The sequence below is a fragment of the Homo sapiens genome, chromosome 4 (assembly GCF_000001405.40).
Source record: "Homo sapiens chromosome 4, GRCh38.p14 Primary Assembly".
NCBI classification, from domain to species: Eukaryota; Metazoa; Chordata; class Mammalia; order Primates; family Hominidae; genus Homo; species Homo sapiens.
The window spans coordinates 166,738,663-166,763,711 of record NC_000004.12 but is presented as its reverse complement, the minus strand read 5'-3'; the positions used below and the strand labels follow the sequence as shown (position 1 = coordinate 166,763,711).

Genomic DNA, 25,049 nt, shown 5'->3' with positions numbered 1-25,049 from the left:
TTAACACTTTACATATGCTGTAAGAAACTTACCAGAGTACACTACCCTCCCTACCCCAGCACACACATTTTGTGCTATTAGTTTCATACATTTAATTCTACCTATGTTGTACACTCCACAGTACTTTGTTATGGTTTTTGCTCTAAACAATTCATTAGCTTTTAAAGTGCTTAAAATGAAAGGAAAAAAGTTTTCTATGTTTACCTACATATGTAGCATTTCTGGCCCTCTTCATTTCTATATGTAGATCCAGATTTCCATCTGGTATTATTACATTCTCTGTCATGGTATTATTACATTCTCTGTCATTATTACATTATTATATTTCAAGAGTTGTAACTCTTGAAATCTTTCAGCTTTACATTGTTTTTAGAAGGTCTTTCTTTTAGCTTAATTTTTGAAAGATAATCTTGCTAGGTATGGCTTTTTCTTTGTTTGAGTACTTTAGAAATTTTCCATTGTCTTCTGGGCTTCATAGCCTCTGAGGAGAAGCTTGCTGCCATTCTCATCTCTGTTCCTCTGTGCAGAATTTCTCCTGTTTCAGTATTTGTCTGGCTACTTTTAAAGTTTTTTTTTTTCTTTTTGATGCTGGCTTTCACCAATTTGTTTATGGTATGCTTTAGTTTGGTTTTCTTTCTTTCTGCTACTTGATGTTAATTGTACTTTGTGTATCTGCATTTGTAATTGTTATCAAATTCAAAAAGATGTAAGTAATTATTTCTTCATATAATTTTCTGAACCCCACACTTCGAGTATTCTTCTGAGACCTCAATTGCTGATATGTTAAGGCAAGTGACATAGTCCCACAGTTCAATAAGGCTCATGGTTGGTTTTTCTTTTTCATATTCTTTCTCCTATGTGCTTTATTTTGGATAAGGTCTTTCATATGTCTTCAGTTTCAAGGATTTTTTTTCTTCTGAAGTGTCCAATGTGCTTTTAATACCATCCAGCATATATTTCATTTCATTTATTGTATGTTTCATCTCTAGACATTCTAGTTAGAATGTTGCATATAGTCTCCAGACAGAAAACCCTAATTGGTGAATTCCTAGCTCCTGGTATTCTGCTCAGTTTCTCTGGGCAGTTCCTTCAACTTACAGAACCCTGTAGTACATATCTCATCTACTTCTGCATCCTCCAAACTGAGTCTGAGCTTTCAGAATTGGTTGAATCCCAGAGAAGTTTTTGTCTTTCATCTGTTGGGCTGTACCCAACTCTCTTTCCCCAGTGTTCTTTTCCTGCCAGCCATAAGGTAGATAACAGATATTCATTTTGGAATGATATGGCCGTTTCTCTATGCAGACCCTTTTATACTTTGGATCAAGGGCACACCAGAAATCTCACACCAACATTGCTTTATTCATGTAATCCCTGGGCATTTGGCAACTTCTGGTAATTAGAATAGTTTAAATCAGTATCTCAAAATATACTATTTTAAAAATTTGCTTCAAGGTAATAGGGACCTAATCTACATTTTTAACCTTACATTTCCAGAACCAAGGTGAGCACTTGCACAGAAAATAGGAAATAAGGAATTCATGTTTACTGTTTGTTTGAGTGAGATAACTCTGTTTTGATTCTATAAACAATTTTACAAGAGAATTTAAACAACAACAAAAACACTGAAATTCTTTAATACTTTTATGAAAATGCCAGAAATACCTCTTTTACCTTTGTATTACCATTTTCTAATATGGTGATTCACAGATATGAGCATTAAATATCTTCTGAAAATTAACAAATTCCCAAAAGTTTGTGAAATTGTAAATTTTTCAAGCCCCCAAATCTCTTTTTTTTTTTTTTTTTTTTTTTTTTTATTATACTCTAAGTTTTAGGGTACATGTGCACATTGTGCAGGTTAGTTACATATGTATACATGTGCCATGCTGGTGCGCTGCACCCACTAATGTGTCATCTAGCATTAGGTATATCTCCCAATGCTATCCCTCCCCCCTCCCCCGACCCCACCACAGTCCCCAGAGTGTGATATTCCCCTTCCTGTGTCCATGTGATCTCATTGTTCAATTCCCACCTATGAGTGAGAATATGCGGTGTTTGGTTTTTTGTTCTTGCGATAGTTTACTGAGAATGATGGTTTCCAATTTCATCCATGTCCCTACAAAGGATATGAACTCATCATTTTTTATGGCTGCATAGTATTCCATGGTGTATATGTGCCACATTTTCTTAATCCAGTCTATCATTGTTGGACATTTGGGTTGGGTCCAAGTCTTTGCTATTGTGAATAGTGCCGCAATAAACATACGTGTGCATGTGTCTTTATAGCAGCATGATTTATACTCATTTGGGTATATACCCAGTAATGGGATGTCTGGGTCAAATGGTATTTCTAGTTCTAGATCCCTGAGGAATCGCCACACTGACTTCCACAATGGTTGAACTAGTTTACAGTCCCACCAACAGTGTAAAAGTGTTCCTATTTCTCCGCATCCTCTCCAGCACCTGTTGTTTCCTGACTTTTTAATGATTGCCATTCTAACTGGTGTGAGATGATATCTCATAGTGGTTTTGATTTGCATTTCTCTGATGGCCAGTGATGATGAGCATTTCTTCATGTGTTTTTTGGCTGCATAAATGTCTTCTTTTGAGAAGTGTCTGTTCATGTCCTTCGCCCACTTTTTGATGGGGTTGTTTGTTTTTTTCTTGTAAATTTGTTTGAGTTCATTGTAGATTCTGGATATTAGCCCTTTGTCAGATGAGTAGGTTGCGAAAATTTTCTCCCATGATGTAGGTTGCCTGTTCACTCTGATGGTAGTTTCTTTTGCTGTGCAGAAGCTCTTTAGTTTAATTAGATCCCATTTGTCAATTTTGTCTTTTGTTGCATTGCTTTTGGTGTTTTGGACATGAAGTCCTTGCCCATGCCTATGTCCTGAATGGTAATGCCTAGGTTTTCTTCTAGGGTTTTTATGGTTTTAGGTTTAACGTTTAAATCTTTAATCCATCTTGAATTGATTTTTGTATAAGGTGTAAGGAAGGGATCCAGTTTCAGCTTTCTACATATGGCTAGCCAGTTTTCCCAGCACCATTTATTAAATAGGGAATCCTTTCCCCATTGCTTGTTTTTCTCAGGTTTGTCAAAGATCAGATAGTTGTAGATATGCGGCATTATTTCTGAGGGCTCTGTTCTGTTCCATTGATCTATATCTCTGTTTTGGTACCAGTACCATGCTGTTTTGGTTACTGTAGCCTTGTAGTATAGTTTGAAGTCAGGTAGTGTGATGCCTCCAGCTTTGTTCTTTTGGCTTAGGATTGACTTGGCAATGCGGGCTCTTTTTTGGTTCCATATGAACTTTAAAGTAGTTTTTTCCAATTCTGTGAAGAAAGTCATTGGTAGCTTGATGGGGATGGCATTGAATCTGTAAATTACCTTGGGCAGTATGGCCATTTTCACGATATTGATTCTTCCTACCCATGAGCATGGAATGTTCTTCCATTTGTTTGTCTCCTCTTTTATTTCCTTGAGCAGTGGTTTGTAGTTCTCCTTGAAGAGGTCCTTCACATCCCTTGTAAGTTGGATTCCTAGGTATTTTATTCTCTTTGAAGCAATTGTGAATGGGAGTTCACCCATGATTTGGCTCTCTGTTTGTCTGTTGTTGGTGTATAAGAATGCTTGTGATTTTTGTACATTGATTTTGTATCCTGAGACTTTGCTGAAGTTGCTTATCAGCTTAAGGAGATTTTGGGCTGAGACGATGGGGTTTTCTAGATATACAATCATGTCGTCTGCAAACAGGGACAATTTGACTTCCTCTTTTCCTAATTGAATACCCTTTATTTCCTTCTCCTGCCTGATTGCCCTGGCCAGAACTTCCAACACTATGTTGAATAGGAGCGGTGAGAGAGGGCATCCCTGTCTTGTGCCGGTTTTCAAAGGGAATGCTTCCAGTTTTTGCCCATTCAGTATGATATTGGCTGTGGGTTTGTCATAGATAGCTCTTATTATTTTGAAATACGTCCCATCAATACCTAATTTATTGAGAGTTTTTAGCATGAAGGGTTGTTGAATTTTGTCAAAGGCTTTTTCTGCATCTATTGAGATAATCATGTGGTTTTTGTCTTTGGCTCTGTTTATATGCTGGATTACATTTATTGATTTGCGTATATTGAACCAGCCTTGCATCCCAGGGATGAAGCCCACTTGATCATGGTGGATAAGCTTTTTGATGTGCTGCTGGATTCGGTTTGCCAGTATTTTATTGAGGATTTTTGCATCAATGTTCATCAAGGATATTGGTCTAAAATTCTCTTTTTTGGTTGTGTCTCTGCCCGGCTTTGGTATCAGAATGATGCTGGCCTCATAAAATGAGTTAGGGAGGATTCCCTCTTTTTCTATTGATTGGAATAGTTTCAGAAGGAATGGTACCAGTTCCTCCATGTACCTCTGGTAGAATTCGGCTGTGAATCCATCTGGTCCTGGACTCTTTTTGGTTGGTAAACTATTGATTATTGCCACAATTTCAGAGCCTGTTATTGGTCTATTCAGAGATTCAACTTCTTCCTGGTTTAGTCTTGGGAGAGTGTATGTGTCGAGGAATGTATCCATTTCTTCTAGATTTTCTAGTTTATTTGCGTAGAGGTGTTTGTAGTATTCTCTGATGGTAGTTTGTATTTCTGTGGGATCGGTGGTGATATCCCCTTTATCATTTTTTATTGTGTCTATTTGATTCTTCTCTCTTTTTTTCTTTATTAGTCTTGCTAGCGGTCTATCAATTTTGTTGATCCTTTCAAAAAACCAGCTCCTGGATTCATTGATTTTTTGAAGGGTTTTTTGTGTCTCTATTTCCTTCAGTTCTGCTCTGATTTTAGTTATTTCTTGCCTTCTGCTAGCTTTTGAATGTGTTTGCTCTTGCTTTTCTAGTTCTTTTAATTGTGATGTTAGGGTGTCAATTTTGGATCTTTCCTGCTTTCTCTTGTAGGCATTTAGTGCTATAAATTTCCCTCTACACACTGCTTTGAATGCGTCCCAGAGATTCTGGTATGTGGTGTCTTTGTTCTTGTTGGTTTCAAAGAACATCTTTATTTCTGCGTTCATTTCGTTATGTACCCAGTAGTCATTCAGGAGCAGGTTGTTCAGTTTCCATGTAGTTGAGCGGCTTTGAGTGAGATTCTTAATCCTGAGTTCTAGTTTGATTGCACTGTGGTCTGAGAGATAGTTTGTTATAATTTCTGTTCTTTTACATTTGCTGAGGAGAGCTTTACTTCCAACTATGTGGTCAATTTTGGAATAGGTGTGGTGTGGTGCTGAAAAAAATGTATATTCTGTTGATTTGGGGTGGAGAGTTCTGTAGATGTCTATTAGGTCTGCTTGGTGCAGAGCTGAGTTCAATTCCTGGGTATCCTTGTTGACTTTCTGTCTCGTTGATCTGTCTAATGTTGACAGTGGGGTGTTAAAGTCTCCCATTATTAATGTGTGGGAGTCTAAGTCTCTTTGTAGGTCACTGAGGACTTGCTTTATGAATCTGGGTGCTCCTGTATTGGGTGCATAAATATTTAGGATAGTTAGCTCCTCTTGTTGAATTGATCCCTTTACCATTATGTAATGGCCTTCTTTGTCTCTTTTGATCTTTGTTGGTTTAAAGTCTGTTTTATCAGAGACTAGGATTGCAACCCCTGCCTTTTTTTGTTTTCCATTGGCTTGGTAGATCTTCCTCCATCCTTTTATTTTGAGCCTATGTGTGTCTCTGCACGTGAGATGGGTTTCCTGAATACAGCACACTGATGGGTCTTGACTCTTTATCCAACTTGCCAGTCTGTGTCTTTTAATTGCAGAATTTAGTCCATTTATATTTAAAGTTAATATTGTTATGTGTGAATTTGATCCTGTCATTATGATGTTAGCTGGTGATTTTGCTCATTAGTTGATGCAGTTTCTTCCTAGTCTCGATGGTCTTTACATTTTGGCATGATTTTGCAGCGGCTGGTACCGGTTGTTCCTTTCCATGTTTAGCGCTTCCTTCAGGAGCTCTTTTAGGGCAGGCCTGGTGGTGACAAAATCTCTCAGCATTTGCTTGTCTATAAAGTATTTTATTTCTCCTTCACTTATGAAGCTTAGTTTGGCTGGATATGAAATTCTGGGTTGAAAATTCTTTTCTTTAAGAATGTTGAATATTGGCCCCCACTCTCTTCTGGCTTGTAGGGTTTCTGCCGAGAGATCCGCTGTTAGTCTGATGGGCTTTCCTTTGAGGGTAACCCGACCTTTCTCTCTGGCTGCCCTTAACATTTTTTCCTTCATTTCAACTTTGGTGAATCTGACAATTATGTGTCTTGGAGTTGCTCTTCTCGAGGAGTATCTTTGTGGCGTTCTCTGTATTTCCTGAATCTGAACGTTGGCCTGCCTTGCTAGATTGGGGAAGTTCTCCTGGATAATATCCTGCAGAGTGTTTTCCAACTTGGTTCCATTCTCCACATCACTTTCAGGTACACCAATCAGACGTAGATTTGGTCTTTTCACATAGTCCCATATTTCTTGGAGGCTTTGCTCATTTCTTTTTATTCTTTTTTCTCTAAACTTCCCTTCTCGCTTCATTTCATTCATTTCATCTTCCATTGCTGATACCCTTTCTTCCAGTTGATCGCATCGGCTCCTGAGGCTTCTGCATTCTTCACGTAGTTCTCGAGCCTTGGTTTTCAGCTCCATCAGCTCCTTTAAGCACTTCTCTGTATTGGTTATTCTAGTTATACATTCTTCTAAATTTTTTTCAAAGTTTTCAACTTCTTTGCCTTTGGTTTGAATGTCCTCCCGTAGCTCAGAGTAATTTGATCGTCTGAAGCCTTCTTCTCTCAGCTCGTCAAAATCATTCTCCATCCAGCTTTGTTCTGTTGCTGGTGAGGAACTGCATTCCTTTGGAGGAGGAGAGGCGCTCTGCGTTTTAGAGTTTCCAGTTTTTCTGTTCTGTTTTTTCCCCATCTTTGTGGTTTTATCTACTTTTGGTCTTTGATGATGGTGATGTACAGATGGGTTTTCGGTGTAGATGTCCTTTCTGGTTGTTAGTTTTCCTTCTAACAGACAGGACCCTCAGCTGCAGGTCTGTTGGAATACCCTGCCGTGTGAGGTGTCAGTGTGCCCCTGCTGGGGGGTGCCTCCCAGTTAGGCTGCTCGGGGGTCAGGAGTCAGGGACCCACTTGAGGAGGCAGTCTGTCTGCCCGTTCTCAGATCTCCATCTGCGTGCTGGGAGAACTACTGCTCTCTTCAAAGCTGTCAGACAGGGACACTTAAGTCTGCAGAGGTTACTGCTGTCTTTTTGTTTGTCTGTGCCCTGCCCCCAGAGGTGGAGCCTACAGAGGCAGGCAGGCCTCCTTGAGCTGTGGTGGGCTCCACCCAGTTCGAGCTTCCCGGCTGCTTTGTTTACCTAAGCAAGCCTGGGCAATGGCGGGCGCCCCTCCCCCAGCCTCGTTGCCGCCTTGCAGTTTGATCTCAGACTGCTGTGCTAGCAATCAGCGAGATTCCGTGGGCGTAGGACCCTCCGAGCCAGGTGTGGGATATAGTCTCGTGGTGCGCCGTTTCTTAAGCCGGTCTGAAAAGCGCAATATTCGGGTGGGAGTGACCTGATTTTCCAGGTGCGACCGTCACCCCTTTCTTTGACTCGGAAAGGGAACTCCCTGACCCCTTGCGCTTCCCAGGTGAGGCAATGCCTCGCCCTGCTTCGGCTCGCGCACGGTGCGCACACACACTGGCCTGCGCCCACTGTCTGGCACTCCCTAGTGAGATGAACCCGGTACCTCAGATGGAAATGCAGAAATCACCGTCTTCTGCGTCGCTCACGCTGGGAGCTGTAGACCGGAGCTGTTCCTGTCCCAAATCTCTTATTTAATTTTTAATCCTAAGTGTCTACATTTTTATTTCTATTATTTTTATAATTCAAAGTATAACAAGAAAAAAAACTATCAAAATAGATTTTGTATTACTAGAACATAAAATTAGCTACAAAATCTGAGAGAATTGCACTTAGAAATGTTTAAACTACTCTTCAAACCCTGTTGTTGAAGATTACATCTTTTTGATACTGTTTTCATAAGTCCCCATGTCTCCAATACATCCTCTTTTCCATGCAAATAACTGAGTTATTAGTTTACTTTCACTTGTAATGAGTAGAAAAGAGAAAATTAAACAACAACTAGATAAGCAACATACATATGAGAGCTCACTGAATCCCTCAAAATAAGAATTGTTGAAAGCAAATTTTTAAAATAGTTCAAAACACTGACATTGCATCTGATGCTATTTAGGAAACTGAGGTTCGTGAGGTCTGCAGCTTACCAGGGGTAACCCATGTGGAGTAGTGTGTAGCTTGAATACAAACCCAGTTCCGTCATCTCTCTATACCTGCTCTATCCAGTGCACCATCTGGCCTCTCATAATAACACATTTGCATTTGTAAAATTTCCTTGAGGTAAGCAGGAGACCAAGTGGCTGTGTAAATTACATGATGATTATTCTTTCTCTGGTCAACAGGTTTATGTGAAATAGCACAGTCACCATAATCCTACCAAGATATAGGGAATTATTAAAGTTATTACTTATTTTGTGTAAAGTCTGCTTTTAAGATCATATTTTCAGTGCTGTGAATAAATATAAATTTTATTTTTTGTTCATAGGATGTTTTAAAATAGTATTTACATATATCTAATGAGACATTTATCATGATATACTATTTATTCAAAGAAGCTTGATCAGTAAAGTAATATAAATAATATATAATTATAATAGTAACTGCCATTGAATGAATGACTAATTAGTACCAAATGCTTTCTGGTTAATTAATTCTCACAACTATCCTGAAATGTAGATACTACTATATCCACTTCAATTTGAAACAAACTACTCATGATGAATTTAATGCTCTACTTCTCTAACTATTCATTAGATGTCCTACACTAGCTACCTGCTATGTTGACTTATTTTGCTTTCTGCTAATGGTGTCTTTCATATTTAACTAATCATTTTCTTTTTTTTGCCTTTAGGATTCGATACCAGCATCTTGCCAATTTGCAAGGACTCACTTGGCTGGATGTTTAACAGACTTGATACAAACTATGACCTGCTATTGGACCAGTCAGAGCTCAGAAGCATTTACCTTGATAAGAATGAACAGTGTACCAAGGCATTCTTCAATTCTTGTGACACATACAAGGACAGTTTAATATCTAATAATGAGTGGTGCTACTGCTTCCAGAGACAGCAAGGTAAAAGATGAGACCCTTACAGACGCAAATAGTTGACCTGCATGTCAAATTTTACTTATTTTTTAAGAAAATAAAACAGTACACTATGCTCATTCATTTTGTGTATGTTTTTGTAATTCAAGTGTTGAATAAAAGAGCAAATAAGAAGCATGTTGAACAAATAACTCTGCCAGAGATACAACACATGCTAAATAAGATGAAAAATAGTAATTAATATTTTGTATTAATGCCACTACATTATAGTTTCCATTATGAGCCACCAAGAAGCACACAGAAATATTAAGAACTTAGATACTGAAAGTAATCATTAAAATTAATTTGCTATCTGCTTTGCCCACAATGTAAAATAAATGGATTTTTTATCACTATACGGTGGAGTTTTAATGTTCTATTTTGTGATCTTATTAAATGAGTTGAATGAACCAGAGCATTCACCATAAAGTTATTTTTACTCATGTGATTTTAAAATGATTTAGTCTTTCAAACTTTTCAAAATAGCTTACCTTTTATAAAATTCACTAGCAGAAAAAGTGTCTTAATACTAAGGAGGAGGTGAGGTAAGTGAAAAGTTGGAATGGCACCAGTTCTTCATGCATCTTTCTGTATTAGGAAATGTAAACATAATGTAAAATTGGAATCAGGCTTATGGAATCAATTGAATGATAATTTATATTAAATATGAATAGGGGAAAAAACAAGAAACTCACATTATGATAAAGTTTTGAGAAACTAAAGAAACAATGGTAAGTGTAATGTTGATGTTAATTTAGGAAAATACCCTGGGAATTAATGTGGTAAAGCCTGCTGTTGTCAATGCTTTTTTAAATTCTTGAGAACTAAGAGAAAGAACAAGATACTTTACAATATCAATGATTACCAGTCTTCGATAAGGAAAACCAGCACATTATATGGGGTAGTTTATTATCTCAATAACTTTTCCACATTTAGTAATAGTTCAGTAATTAGGGATGAAATGAATATGCATAAATTGATTAGTGGTGAGTCAACAGAAGCTTTAGTTGAGTACAGTAACTTAACTATTAATAAACCACTCTAAACAAAGTTTAAAAAATACATTTACTGTATTAAAATATTTATTACACACACAAACACACATTGTTGGCTACATTACATATGTGCTTTCAAGTTAAATACTCCTAAAAACTTACATCCTAGTATTAATGACAAGTGTGCATTTAAATAATTTAAATAATAAAAAGTAGTAAATCCAGCTAAACTGCCAGAAAAATACACGTAGTCATGTACTCTTTTCTTATGATGACAAACGTTATTTTAATTTTTTATTTTTATTTTTTGGTGTTATGGTAGCATATTTTTTGGTGTCTATACACAAACATTTAAAATATTCTGAATAACTCAGAATGCTTTGTCTACAGAAATCGATAAATTCTTTATCTTAGAATATTCTTAGGTTTTGTAGCAATATTTGCAGGATTGATTAAAGGTCCCCATAGAAAAATTTTATGTTATCTATGTTTCATTTAAATTGTAGCATTCTCCCAAAGTGTTAATTTTTATATAGCCATATGAAGATTTACTCTCTGAGGTCATTTAATGCATAGCAGAAATAGTTTAATAAATGGTACCTAAGCTAGTAAAAGAGCTTATACAATTTCTCTAATGCTTAGAAGGGTTTGGCTAAACTCTTAGCCAACATTTCATTACTTTAATTGCTAGAAGTTACAAAAGTTCTCAGGGTAACTGAGAAGGCATGCTAGTGATACGATACAACTTTGTTTTTATGTATTCTTTTAGTTCAATAAGTAATTTTATTAAAAAATCACCATTAATTTATATGCTGATTTTTTCAAATATTCCAGCTTATAAAAGAATATTTTCCTGAAATTCTTGTTTACTGTAGCTATAAATATATGTGTGTGTGTGTGTGTGTGTGTGTGTGTGTGTGTGTGTGTATATATATATATATATATATACACACATATAGCTACTCTATATATAGCTGCTATATATAGAGCTCTCGCTCTCAAAAATAGGATGGAATGAGAGGTTATTTAATCTAGGCTTACTTAAAACTGCCATGAAGACTACAGTTGCATAGTGTGGAAAAACAACTGGAAAATAATGATGTTTTTCTAAAAAGTAACTTTCACATTATAAAATTAAAGTTAATTTTGAAAGTTTAATAAATGAGTTTGTAAATTTCAGCTGGGCACAGTTGCTCATGCCTGTAATCCTGGCACTTTGGGAGGCCAAGGAGGGTGGATTGCTTAAGCTCAGGAGTCCGAGCAGTGTGGGCAATGTGGTGAGATCCTGTCTCTACAAAAAACACAAAAATTAGCCAGGATTGGTGGTACATGCCTGTAGTCCTAGCTACTTGGGGATCTGAGGCAGGAGAAGGAGGTTGGAGGTTGCAGTGAGCTGAGATGGCACCTCTACACTCCAGCCTGGGCAACAGAGTACCAGAGTGAGACCCTACCTCAACAACAACAACAACAAAAGGAATGTACAATTTCAAGCAAGTGAAATATTTGTAGTTTTCCAAGGGAAAAAAATGTTATAATTTTAATTGAGAAACAAATTTGTTTCTATGGCTAATTTTCTAAAATCATGACAATTAAGCAATACAAAATGAACATGGTTGTAATTTGTAGAATTCTTTATTCTAAGTAATCCTGAAAAAGTGAGTAGGAGGAATATCAATTTGGGATTTTAGCTACCTTACGTGTTAAGAATGTGCTTTCATAAAAGTATGTCTACTTTTACTTACTCTAAAAAGTTAATCATTTATTAGTTGCTATTCTATTGAAAACGCTGTTGTGTAAGATAAAGGAATGATAAAGAAAACTAACATTTATTCAGCTCCACCTAGTCTTTTGTGTACATAAAATTATTACTGAAATAGCCCTGTGAAAGTATAAATATTCCCATTTTATGGCTAAGGACTGAAGTTTATTCATATTCAATAACTTCACATTATGAAATGAGTACATGAATAAACTGGTATTTGAAATGAAACTCCTTGATTTCTGTCTTCAAATATTTGTAATTCTACTTTCAGAAATAACAAAGTAATTATATATAAAATGCCATAGAATCATCAGTGCAACTTATTGGATAGTCTTATTCAGTACGAATAACATCAACAAGTCCTTTTCCAATAACTAGTTTATGCAGGGTTTTTTCTCAGGAATGAAATGAAAATTAATGACATTATTGGAGGTTATGTATACATTTAATAAACAGGAAGAGATGTCAAAGTGTAGTGCATGGGGGATTAATTCATTCTTTTTAAAAGATATGATTTTCCTATTAAATCAAATAAATATGGAGGATTTGGAATTGTGAATATTTGTAATTTCTATGAATGAAATGAATCTAATAAAGTTTTAAAAGTATAACCATTCTATGAGAGGCTACGTGACCAATAACGTATGGAGAAGAAAAGTGATTAAGGGCAGTGGCTTACTTAAAAAACTGCTAGAGGGCTGCCTTGTTGTAAAACTTCAGGGCACCATTGATAGTGCAATTCAGGTAGATGGTACCCTGTTGGAGTTGTGCAGTACACAGCCTGTGCAGCCATATGCTGCCAACTTAGAGATTCATTCACAAACCTCCATAATGCCCACTTTCTTTTCAGTTTTGACTCTATATTATCCATATATATTTGACAGCTAAAAACAAGTATTTCTTAGAAATGACTTCTTTCAAGTATAGAAAACATACTTTGTATTGTAGTAACTGTTGGAAACATATACGTATTTTAAATTTATTTATCCCAATTACATTTTCTTTAGTTCAAAATTTCATGGGTAAATAAAAGTGCATTGTTACTGTTGTATTGAAAATTACCAATTCCTAATATAATGACTCCAATGTAGGGGTTTGGGTTTTTAAATTCAGAATGCAGAACAATCAACAATTTTATATTCAAAACAAACAACATCTGGAAATTTAACTTCTATTTTTTTTTCATTCTTCCCTACTGGTTTAGAACAGTTAATAAAAAATTCTGATTAAATTTTATATTTTATTAATTTGTGATTCTCATACAGTTTTTAAGCACATAAGATAAGAATTTAGCATAAACTTAAAACACTCGTTGGTAGCAAACACATTGGGGGAATTCATCTTATGAGATGAATCCATGTCTCTACCCTAAGCTGACCTATTAGTCCTTACCCTGTGTAGACCTAATAGTCTGATTCTGTCCAAACTTTAATGCAATTAGTTAGGTTACTATTCTTTTATCTAGATCAGTTATTTGCAAGTGAGTTTAAATGATAGATGAAGTCTCAGTTAAGTGCTCTAAGAATACCTAAAGGCTAGACTTACAGAGCTGGCTAATAAATAATAAGAAAATAGTTTAAAATCAAATATTATATATACTTGAACAATCCAATCAGTCATGATTTTCTTGAAATTCTAAAATGTTCTTTTACACAGAGCTTGTAACGCTGGTAGGCAGACATATTCTCTGAGGTTACTAATCAAAATTCCGATCAAATGTACGTGCATTTTCAGGTATAGACTCAAATGCACGAGGGTGTTCAAGTAGACATTAGAAATCCTATTTCTGCTTTACAATAACTAGCCAATTGCAACTAGAAGAACTGTTTTCAATATAATATTGAAACTTCAGCTGGACTCTTTCCTCTTAGTTCTTAAATGTCATATTTGGAGAGCTATAAAATTTTAAATGTCTGTATAAAAAACTATACAATATGATTCCTAATTCTTTAATATAAGAGACTCAGAAGATTATCAGGAATAACAAAGGGATCAATTGGATCAATTTCAAAATGAAATAGAACAATATACTAATTATACAAGATTTTAAAACAGGTTTTCTTTACATTTTATTATTTTATTTTTATTTTTTTTTATTTTTTATCATACTTTAAGTTCTAGGGTACATGTGCACAACGTGCAGGTTTGTTACATATGTATACATGTGCCATGTTGGTGTGCTGCACCCATAAACTCGTCATTTACAATAGGTATTTCTCCTAATGCTATCCCTCCCCGCTCCCCCCACCGCACCATAGGCCCTTGTGTGTGAAGTTCCCAACCCTGTGTCCAAGTGTTCTCATTGTTCAATTCCCACCTATGAGTGAGAACATGTGGTGTTTGGTTTTCTGTCCTTGTGATAGTTTGCTCAGAATGATAGTTTCCAGCTTCATCCATGTCCCTACAAAGGACATGAACTCATCTTTTTTTATGGCTGCATAGTATTCCAAGATGTATATGTGCCACATTTTCTTAAACCATTCTATCATTGATGGACATTTGGGTTGGTTCCAAGTCTTTGCTATTGTGAGCAGTGCTGCAATAAACATACGTGCACATGTGTCTTTATAGTAGCATGATTTATAATCCTTTGGGTATATACCCAGTAATGGGATGGCTGGGTCAAATGGTATTTCTAGTTCTATGTCTTTGAGGAATCACCACACTGCCTTCCACAATGGTTGAACTAGTCTACAGTCCCACCAACAGTGTAAAAGTATTCCCATTTCTCCACATCCTCTCCAGCACCTGTTGTTTCCTGACTTTTTAATGATCACCATTCTAACTGGTGTGAGATGGTATCTCATTGTGGTTTTGATATGCATTTCCCTGATGGCCAGTGATGATGAGCATTTTTTCTGTGTCTGTTGGTGGCATAAATGACTTCGTTTGAAAAATGTCTGTTCATATCCTTTACCCACTTTTTGATGGGGTTGTTTGATTTTTTTCTTATAAATTTGTTCAAGTTCTTTGTGGATTCTGGATGTTAGCCCTTTGTCAGATGAATAGATTGCAAAAATTTTCTCCCATTCTGTAGGTTGCCTGTTCACTCTGAAGGAAGTTTCTTTTGCTGTGAAGAAGATCTTAAGTTTAATTAGATCCCATTTGTCTATTTTGGCTTTTGTTGCCATTGCTTTTGGTGTTTTAGACATGAAGTCTTTGCCCATGCCTATGTCCTGAATGGTATTGCCTAGGTTTTCTTCTAGGGTTTTTATGGCTTTAGGTCTAACATTTAAGTCTTTAATCCATCTTGAGTTAACTTTTGTATATGATGTAAGGAAGGCATCCAGTTTCAGCTTTGTACATATGGCTAGCCAGTTTTCCCAGCACCATTTATTAAAAAGGGAATCCTTTCCCCATTTCTTGTTTTTGTCAGGTTTGTCAAAGATCAGATGGTTGTAGATGTGTGGTATTATTTCTGAGGGCTCTGTTCTGTTCCACTGGTCTATATCTCTGTTTTGGTACCAGTACCATGCTGTTTTGGTTACCATAGCCTTGTAGTATAGTTTGAAGTCAGGTAGCATGATGCCTCCAGCTTTGTTCTTTTGGCTTAGGATTGTCTTGGCAATGCAGGCTCTTTTTTGATTCCATATGAACTTTAAAGTAGTTTTTTCCAATTCTATGAAGAAAGTCATTGGTAGCTTGAAGGGGATGGCATTGAATCTATAAATTACCTTGGGCAGTAAGGCCATTTTCATGGTATTGATTCTTCCTATCCATGAGCATGGAATGTACTTCCAGTTGTTTGTATCTTTTTTTATTTCATTGAGCAGTGGTTTGTAGTTCTCCTTGAAGAGGTCCTTCACATTTCCTATAAGTTGGATTCCTAGGTATTTTATTCTCTTTGAAGCAATTATGAATGGGAGTTCACTCATGATTTGGCTCTCTGTTTTTCTGTTATTGGTGTATAAGAATGCTTGTGATTTTTGCACATTGATTTTGTATCCTGAGACTTTGCTGAAGTTGCTTATCAGCTTAAGGGGATTTTGGGCTGAGACAGTGGGGTTTTCTAAATATACAATCATGTCATCTGCAAACAGGGACAATTTGACTTCCTCTTTTCCTAATTGAATATCCTTTATTTCCTTCTCCTGCCTGATTGCCCTGGCCAGCACTTCCAACAATATATTGAATAGGAGTAGTGAGAGAAGGCATCCCTGTCTTGTGCCAGTTTTCAAAGGGAATGCTTCCAGTTTTTGGCCATTCAGTATGATATTGGCTGTGGGTTTGTCATAAATAGCTCTTATTATTTTGAGATATGTCCCATCAATAGCTAGTTTATTGAGAGTTTTTAGCATGAAGGGCTGTTGAATTTTGTCAAAGGCCTTTTCTGCAACTATTGAGATAATCATATGGTTTTTGTCATTGGTTCTCTTTTTGTGATGGATTACGTTTATTGATTTGCATAGGTTGAACCAGACTTGCATCCCAGGGATGAAGCCAACTTGATCATGGTGGATAAGCTCTTTGATGTGCTGCTGGATTCGGTTTGCCAGTATTTTACTGAGGATTTTTGCATCAATGTTCATCAGCGATGTTGGCCTGAAATTCTCTTTGTTTGCTGTGTCTCTGCCAGGCTTTGGTATCAGGATGATGTTGACCTCATAAAATGAGTTAGGGAGGATTCACTTTTTTTCTATTGATTGGAATAGTTTCAGAAGGAATGGTACCAGCTCCTCCTTGTACATCTGGTAGAATTTGGCTGTGAATCCATCTGGTCCTGGACTTTTTTTGGTTGGTAGGCTCTTAATTATTGCCTCAATTTCAGAGTCTGTTATTGGTCTATTCAGGGATTCAACTTCTTCCTGGTTTAGTCTTGGGAGGGTGTATGTGTCCAGGAATTTATGCATTTCTTCTAGATTTTCTAGTTTATTTGTGTAAAGGTGTTTACAGTATTCTCTGATGGTAGTTTGTATTTCTGTGGGATCGGTGGTGATATCTCCTTTATCATTTTTTATTGCATCTATTTGATTCTTCTCTCTTTTCTTCTTTATTAATCTTGCTATCAGTCTATCAATTTTGTTGATCCTTTCAAAAAACCAGCTCCTGGATTCATTGATTTTTTGAAGGGATTTTGTGTCTTTATCTCCTTCAGTTCTTCTCTGATCTTAGTTATTTCTTGCCTTCTGCTAGCTTTTGAATGTGTTTGCTCTTGCCTCTCTAGTTCTTTTAATTGTGATGTTAGGGTGTCAATTTTAGATCTTTCCTGCTTTCTCTTGTGGGCATTTAGTGCTATAAATTTCCCTCTCCACACTGCTTTAAATGTGTCCCAGAGATTCTGGTATGTTCTGTCTTTGTTCTCATTGGTTTCAAAGAACATCTTTATTTCTGCCTTCATTTCGTTATGTACCCAGTAAGGAGCAGGTTGTTCAGTTTCCATGTAGTTGAGTGGTTTTGAGTGAGTTTCTTAATCCTGAGTTCTAATTTGATTGCACTGTGGTCTGAGAGACAGTTTGTTATGATCTCTGTTCTTTTACATTTGCTGGCTGAGGAGTGCTTTACTTCCAACTAAGTGGTGAATTTTGGAATAAGTGTGATGTGCTTCTGAGAAGAATGTATATTCTGTTGATTTGGGGTGAAGAGTTCTGTAGATGTCTATTAAGTCTGCTTGGTGCAGAGCTGAGTTCAAGGCCTGGATATCTTTGTTAACTTTCTGTGTCATTGATCTGTCTAATGTTGACAGTAGGGTGTTAAAGTCTCCCATTATTATTGTGTGGGAGTCTAAGTCTCTTTGTAGGTCTCTAAGGACTTGCTTTATGAATCTGGGTGCTCCTGTATTGAGTTCATATATATTTAGGATAGTTAGCTCTTCTTGTTGAATTCATGCCTTTACCATTATGTAATGGCCTTCTTTTTGTCTTTTGATCTTTGTTGGTTTAAAGTCTGTTTTATCAGAGACTAGGATTGCAACCCTGCTTTTTTTGTTTTACATTTGTTTAGTAGATCTTCCTCCATCCCTTTATTTTGAGCCTATGTGTGTCTCTGCACATGAGATGGGTCTCCTGAATACAGCACACTGATGGGTCTTGACTCTTTATCCAACTTGCCAGTCTGTGTCTTTTAACTGGGGCATTTAGCCCATTTACATTTAAGGTTAATATTGTTATGTGTGAATTTGATCCTATCGTTATGATGTTAGCTGCTTATTTTGCCTATTAGTTTATGCAGTTTCTTCCTAGTGTCAATGGTCTTTACAATTTGGCATGTTTTTGCAGTGGCTGTTACTGGTTGTTCCTTTCCATGTTTAGTGCTTTCTTCAGGAGCTCTTATAAGGCAGGCCTGGTGGTGAGAAAATCCCTCAGCATTTGCTTGTCTGTAAAGGATTTTATTTCTCCTTCACTTATGAAATTTAGTTTGGCTGGATATGAAATACTGGGTTGAAAATACTTTTCTTTAAGAATGTTGAATATTGGCCCCCACTCTCTTCTGGCTCATAGAGTTTCTGCTGAGAGATCCGCTGTTAGTCTGATGGGCTTCCCTTTGTGGGTAACCCGACCTTTCTCTCTGGCTGCCCTTAACATTTTTTCCTTCATTTCCACCTTGGTGCATATGAAAATTATGTGTCTTGGGGTTGCTCTTCTTGAGGAATGTCTTTGTGGTGTTCTCTGTATATCCTGAATTTGAATGTTGGCCTACCTTGCTAGGTTGGGGAAGTTCTCCTGGTTAATATCGTGCAGAGTGTTTTCCAACTTGGTTCCATTCTCCCCATCACTTTCACGTACACCAATCAAATGTAGATTTGGTCTCTTCACATAGTCCCATATTTCTTGGAGGCTTTGTTCGTTTATTTTTACTTTTTTTTTCTCTAAACTTGTCTTCTCGCTTCATTTCATTCATTTGATCTTCAATCACTGATACCCTTTCTTCCACTTGATCGAATCGGCTACTAAAGCTTATGCACGCATCACGTAGTTCTCATGCCATGGTTTTCAGCTCCATCAGGTCACTTAAGGTCTTCCCTATGCTGTTTATTCCTGTTAGCCATTTGTCTAATCTTTTTTCAAAGTTTTTAGCTGCCTTGCAATGGGTTCGAACATCCTCCCTTATCTTGGAAAAGTTTCTTATTATTGATCTTCTGAAGCCTACTTCTGTCAACTCGTCAAAGTCATTCTCCATCCAGCTTTGTTCTGTTGCTGGTGAGGAGCTGCGTTCCTTTGGAGGAGAATAGGCGCTCTGGTTTTTAGAATTTTCAGCTTTTCTGCTCTGGTTTCTTCCCATCTTTCTGGTTTTATCTACCTTTGGTCTTTGATGATGGTGACCTACAGATGCGGTCTTGGTGTGGATGTCCTTTTTGTCGATGTTACTGCTATTCCTTTCTGATTGTTGCTTTTCCTTCCAACAGTCAGGACCCTCAGAGGCAGGTTTGTTGGAGTTTTCTGGAGGTCCACTCCAGACCCTGTTTGCCTGGGTATCACCAGTGGAGACTGCAGAACAGTAAATATTGCAGAACAGCAAATGTTGCTGCCTGATCCTTCCTCTGGAAGCTTCATCTCAGAGGGGCACTCGGCTGTATGAGGTGTCAGTCAGCCCCTATTGGGAGGTATCTCCCAGTTAGGCTACTCGGGGGTCAGGGACCCACTTGAGGAGGCAGTCTGTTTGTTCTCAGATCTCAAACTCCGGGGTGGGAGAACCACTGCTCTCTTCAAAGCTGTCAGACAGGGACGTTTAAGTCTGCAGAAGTTTCTGTTGCCTTTTGTTCAGCTATGCCCTGCCCTCAGAGGTGGAGTCTACAGAGGCAGGGAGGCCTCCTTGAGCTGCTGTGGGCTCCACCCAGATCGAGCTTCCTGGCTGCTTTGTTTACCTAGTCAAGCCTTAGCAAAGGTGGACCCCCCTCCCCCAGTCTCGCTGATGCCTCACAGTTGGATCTCCGACTGCTGTGCTAGCAGTGAGCAAAGCTCCATGGGCGTGGGACCCACCAAACCAGGCGCAGGATATAGTCTCCTGGTGTGCCATCTGCTAAGACCGTTGTAAAAGTGCAATATCAGGGCAGGAGTGTCCCAATTTTCCAGGTACCGTCTATCACGGCTTCCCTTGGCTGGGAAAGGGAATTCCCCAACCCATTGCACTTCCCAGGTGAGGCGATGTCCCGCCCTGCTTCGGCTCATACTCTGTGGGCTGCACCCATTTTCTGACCAGTCCCAATGAGATGAACCCAGTACCTCAGTTGGAAATGCAGAAATCACCCGTCTTCTGCGTCGCTCACACTAGGAGCTATAGACTGGAGCTGTTCCTGTTTGGCCATCTTGGAATGATTCTCTTTCTTTACATTTTAGATTCTATAAGATGAATTTTTTTTTAGATTCTGCAAGATTAAGTTCACATATTAAACTACAATGTATATGTTAAGCACCTATCTCATTCTTTATTCCACTTTGTTACGTAAAATTTCATAATTGAATATTTTGAATTCAATGTATTATAAAATTTTAAAAACATTTAAATTAATATACTTTGCCTTTTTCCTAAAAAGTTGTACCATGGGACAATAAGATATAGTATATTATTTTGCAGTTTTACTATTTTCTAATGCCACTTTTATATAGCAAGCATTAACAGCAAGCTTTTAGAATATGAATATAAAATGCACTAAACTGCTTTCAGATAAGACTGTATATATTACATATTATATGTGTATATAATTATATACAGTTATCTCTTAGTATCCGAGGGGGATCGATCTCAGGACCACTTGTGAACACCAAAATCAAGTCACTCAAATGCCTTCTATAAAATGGCAAAATATTGACATATAACGTACGCACATCCTCTTATATACTTTAAATCATCTCTAGATTTTTATTTTTTGAAAATTTTCAATTAGCGGTTGGTTGAATCTATAAATGCAGAACTCACAGATATGAAGGGCAACAGTAAATATAAGAGTAATAATATAAGGCAAACTATATTGTGACTATTTAGAATTTTACATTTCTCTACGAACGTCCTCCTTCAAGTGGTTGAGTTTGAAAATAGGCAAAGACTATTTCCAGATCGGTTTAAATGTTTTCAGCTTATTTTTAAAATAACAGCTTATCAGAAATAATTTTATATTATATCCTGTTCCTAAATTGCATATATGGCTGAAACTAAAAAGACTAATATCTCTTAACATTATACAATATTAAAATTTATAATAAGGTCTTTAACATAACTGGAAAGAAGCATTAACTTTTTCCTAGATTACTTTTGTAACACAAAGTTACTTGTCTATATCACAGAAACTTTTAAATGAGGGGAAAACATAATCAGTTAATTGCTTCAGCAGCAGTCAATTAGTTGAATTTACATTTCTGACTTGATTGACCTTTTAAAAGTAAATGATAAGAAGTATTTTTCATCATATAAGTATCTTTTATACTTTTAAAAAATCCAATCCAGGAATTCTGAGGAAAACCAAGGTGATATATTGACAATTAGGAAAGTAGTATGAGTGCTCTCTCTGTCTCTATAGATAGATATTAGATAGATAGATAGATAGATAGATAGATAGATAGATAGATAGATGATAGATAGACACATGTATGTACCTATATGAATGTATCTTTATAAGTAAACCAATTAATATGTAATACATGTCTTCCAAAGGCACAAAAAGACTAAGTGAAGTTTGATAACATAGAAATTACACTTTCTTTGTTTAACTAGAATCCTTGAAGTAACATTTTTAATGTCATTGCAGACCCACCTTGCCAGACTGAGCTCAGCAATATTCAGAAGCGGCAAGGGGTAAAGAAGCTCCTAGGTGAGTAATAGATCATTCTTCTGAAGGCTTTATTGCTTACATAAATAACCCCAGGGAAACAGCAACATAAAATCAATATTAATCCAACAAAGATAGACTGCACTAAATTTCAGCAACAAAATTTATGAACTTTTTGAAAGCCATTAAACTTACTTTTATTACCTTACCTATTGAAAGATATTATGTCTGTTTTATTACCCTAATATAATGTTCATTTTGAAAGTTATTAAGTAAAAAGAAAGATTTAAGCAATGCTAAAGTTAAAACATCAGCAGAAAATTCAGTTCAAATTATATGGTGAAGATTTAAGAATTGATGGCAAATATATATATATGTATATGTGCTATTTAAAGCATGTAGTTTTATAAATTGGGTGAAAAGTGCTCTGAGTACCTCAGGGAAATTTGAATAGACTTGTTGGTATTTTTCATTAGTGTTTTTTACTACCCTTCTTTTAATAAGTAAATGTATAAGTAGATAGATATTTCAGATTTTATTCAAAGCCTTGAAATATTTGAATGTTTGGATATAAACAGATTATTAAACTGTTACATATGAGTGGTTTATTCTTATAAACTTACAATTTTTAAATAAACTATTTTTGGAATAGTTTTAAATTTATAAAAACAGTGACAAAGGTACATAGTTTCCAAACATTCTTCACCCAGCTTCCACTAAATATAACGTCTTGCATGTGCCAAATAACGATGAAACATTTGTAAATATCTAAGAAATTAGCATTGCTATAATCCTATTAAGTAAGCTTCAGACTTTATTTGGTTGTCACCAGTTTTGCCACTGTTCTTTTTCTATTTTAGAATTCAAAGCATGACAGCACACATGCAATATTTCTTTTCACGGATATTAACACACTCGTGTATTTAATGGCACATAACTCTAATGTCTCTGGATCTGATTAATCTGTTTTATATTTTGACTTACTATCTTTGTAATTACAATATATTACATTTAAATAAGAGGATTTTTCACATTACTTGCAAATCTTTGTTTCAGTGCCCATTGTACAAAATTAAAAGTTTAATGTTTTGTAATAAAACATTTTTAGGTGTGAAAATTACTGATGATAAATGCTACAATGTGTCATGTTTCTTTTGACCCTGTTACAAGATGCAGGAGATACCACAGCTCACAAATGAAAATAATACATTCTGGCTGGGTACAGTGGCTCACGCCTGTAATCCCAACACTTTAGGAGGCCAAGGTAGGCAGATCACCTGAGGTCAGGAGTTCGAGACCACCCTGGCCAATATGGCAAAACCCCACCTCTACTGAAAATACAAAAATTAGCCTGGCGTGGTGGTGTGTGCCTGTAATCACAGCTACTCTGGCGCCTGAAGCAGGAGAATTGCTTGAACCGGGGAGGAAGATGTTGCAGTGAGCCGAGATGGCACCACCGTACACCAGCCTGGGTAACAGAGCGAGACTCCATCTCAGAAATAATAATGATAATAATAATAATAATAATAATAATAATAATAATAAGTTCTTATATAGATTTGTCTTGGCAAATCAAAGTTTAGCCATGTACCATAAAGAAAGCCATTGAAATTCAACTTAAAAATATTTTCTACTTAAATTCTATTAGTAGCAAAAATCTATTAGAATACAGGTTTTTATTATTTGAAGGTATAAAAAAATACTTAGTTCCCATTTGGGAAGAGTTACCTTCATTATTCTTTCATAATATAAATGAAAATTATTATAGAGAACACTAAAGTCTTTAAGCATTTCTTCTAATTTGGGTGGGGTATTAGTACGCGTCTGAAATTGATCACTTGTTATATAGGAGTATGATGCCCCATGTCCTGATTTGGAGATTCAGTCTTTGAAAGGAAAAGAGAATATTCTTAAGAATTATGCTAAAACTTCAGACATCAACCAACTTTACTGGCATAAAGTATCAATTATGGTCACACTAACTATACATCATAACATGTTTATGTCAAATTCAAATGGTAGTTGTAAAAGCTGTAGATGTGACAACAGTGAATTTTTTCCTTATTTTTTCTGGCCTTTAATCCATAGAAAGCGTTCTGAAGTTAATGATATTCTGTCTATCTAATTGAAAGATTAGCAGTTCAGCTATTTTGAATAAATTATAGTTTTTTAAACTAAGTTAATCTACGTATAACAATTTTCAAACTTTTTGAGATAGTGAAGTTATGATGTTATATGGTTACAAGACTAAGTTTTGTCTTTTATCCATTTATTTATTTATTTTTTAAATTTCACCAAATAACTATTATGCTTCTGGTCACAGAAAAAAAAAAAGTCAGAAAATAAAAGAAAATATTCTTATCTCCTGGAACTTATATTCTGGTGTTGGAGTACTTATTAAAAAACACGACTTCACTTTTAAATTACTAATTAAGGGTTTATCATGAGCATTGTGCCATAGAGTATGTTAGATTTTATAGATATAAAAAGAAGTCTCTAGTCGGGGATGACGGCTCATGCCTGTAATCCCAGCATTCTGGGAGGTTGAGGTGGATGGATGACTTGAAGTCAGGAGTTTGAGATCAGTCTTGACAACATGGTGAAACCCCATCTGTACTAAAAACACAAAAATTACCTTGGTGTGGTGGTGCATGCCTGTAATCTCAGCCACTCAGGAGGCTGAGGTAGGAGAATCACTTGAACCTGGGAGGCAGAGGTTGTAGTGAGCCGAGATCGCCCCACTGCACTCCAGCCTGAGTGATGGAGTGAGACTCTGTCTCAAAAAATAAATAAATAAATAAATAAATGCTCACCATCACTGGCCATCAGAGAAATGCAAACCAAAACCACAATGAGATACCATCTCACACCGGTTAGAATGGGAATCATTAAAAAGTCAGGAAACAACAGGTGCTGGAGAGGATGTGGAGAAATAGGAACACATTTACACTGTTGCTGGGACTGTAAACTAGTTCAACCATTGTGGAAGTCAGTGTGGCAATTCCTCAGGGATCTAGAACTAGAAATACCATTTGACCCAGCCATCCCATTACTGGGTATATACCCAAAGGACTATAAATCATGCTGCTATGAAGACACATGCACACGTATATTTATTGTGGCACTATTTACAATAGCAAAGACTTGGAACCAACCCAAATGTCCAACAATGATAGACTGGATTAAGAAAATGTGGCACATATACACCATGGAATACTATGCAGCCATAAAAAATGATGAGTTCATGTCCTTTATAGCGACATGGATGAAATTGGAAATCATCATTCTCAGTAAACTATCGCAAGGACAAAAAACCAAACACCGCATGTTCTCACTCATAGGTGGGAATTGAACAATGAGAACACATGGACACAGG

General features: G+C 36.5%; 1 protein-coding gene across 12 annotated transcripts in view; it reads left to right on the top strand.

The window, feature by feature from the left end:
• SPOCK3 (SPARC (osteonectin), cwcv and kazal like domains proteoglycan 3) overlaps positions 1 to 25,049 on the top strand; it is a 501,562-nt gene that overhangs the window by 471,234 nt on the left and 5,279 nt on the right. For 11 of the 12 annotated variants that reach the window (XM_017008258.2, XM_011532018.2, NM_001251967.2 and 8 more), the window contains 2 exons: positions 8,983 to 9,204; positions 21,653 to 21,715. In XM_017008258.2, coding sequence (XP_016863747.1) covers positions 8,983 to 9,204; positions 21,653 to 21,715 — 285 coding nt within the window. Of the gene's footprint in view, positions 1 to 8,982; positions 9,627 to 21,652; positions 21,716 to 25,049 lie in introns of those variants that run through there. The other variant, NM_001204358.2, reaches the window with a different exon arrangement.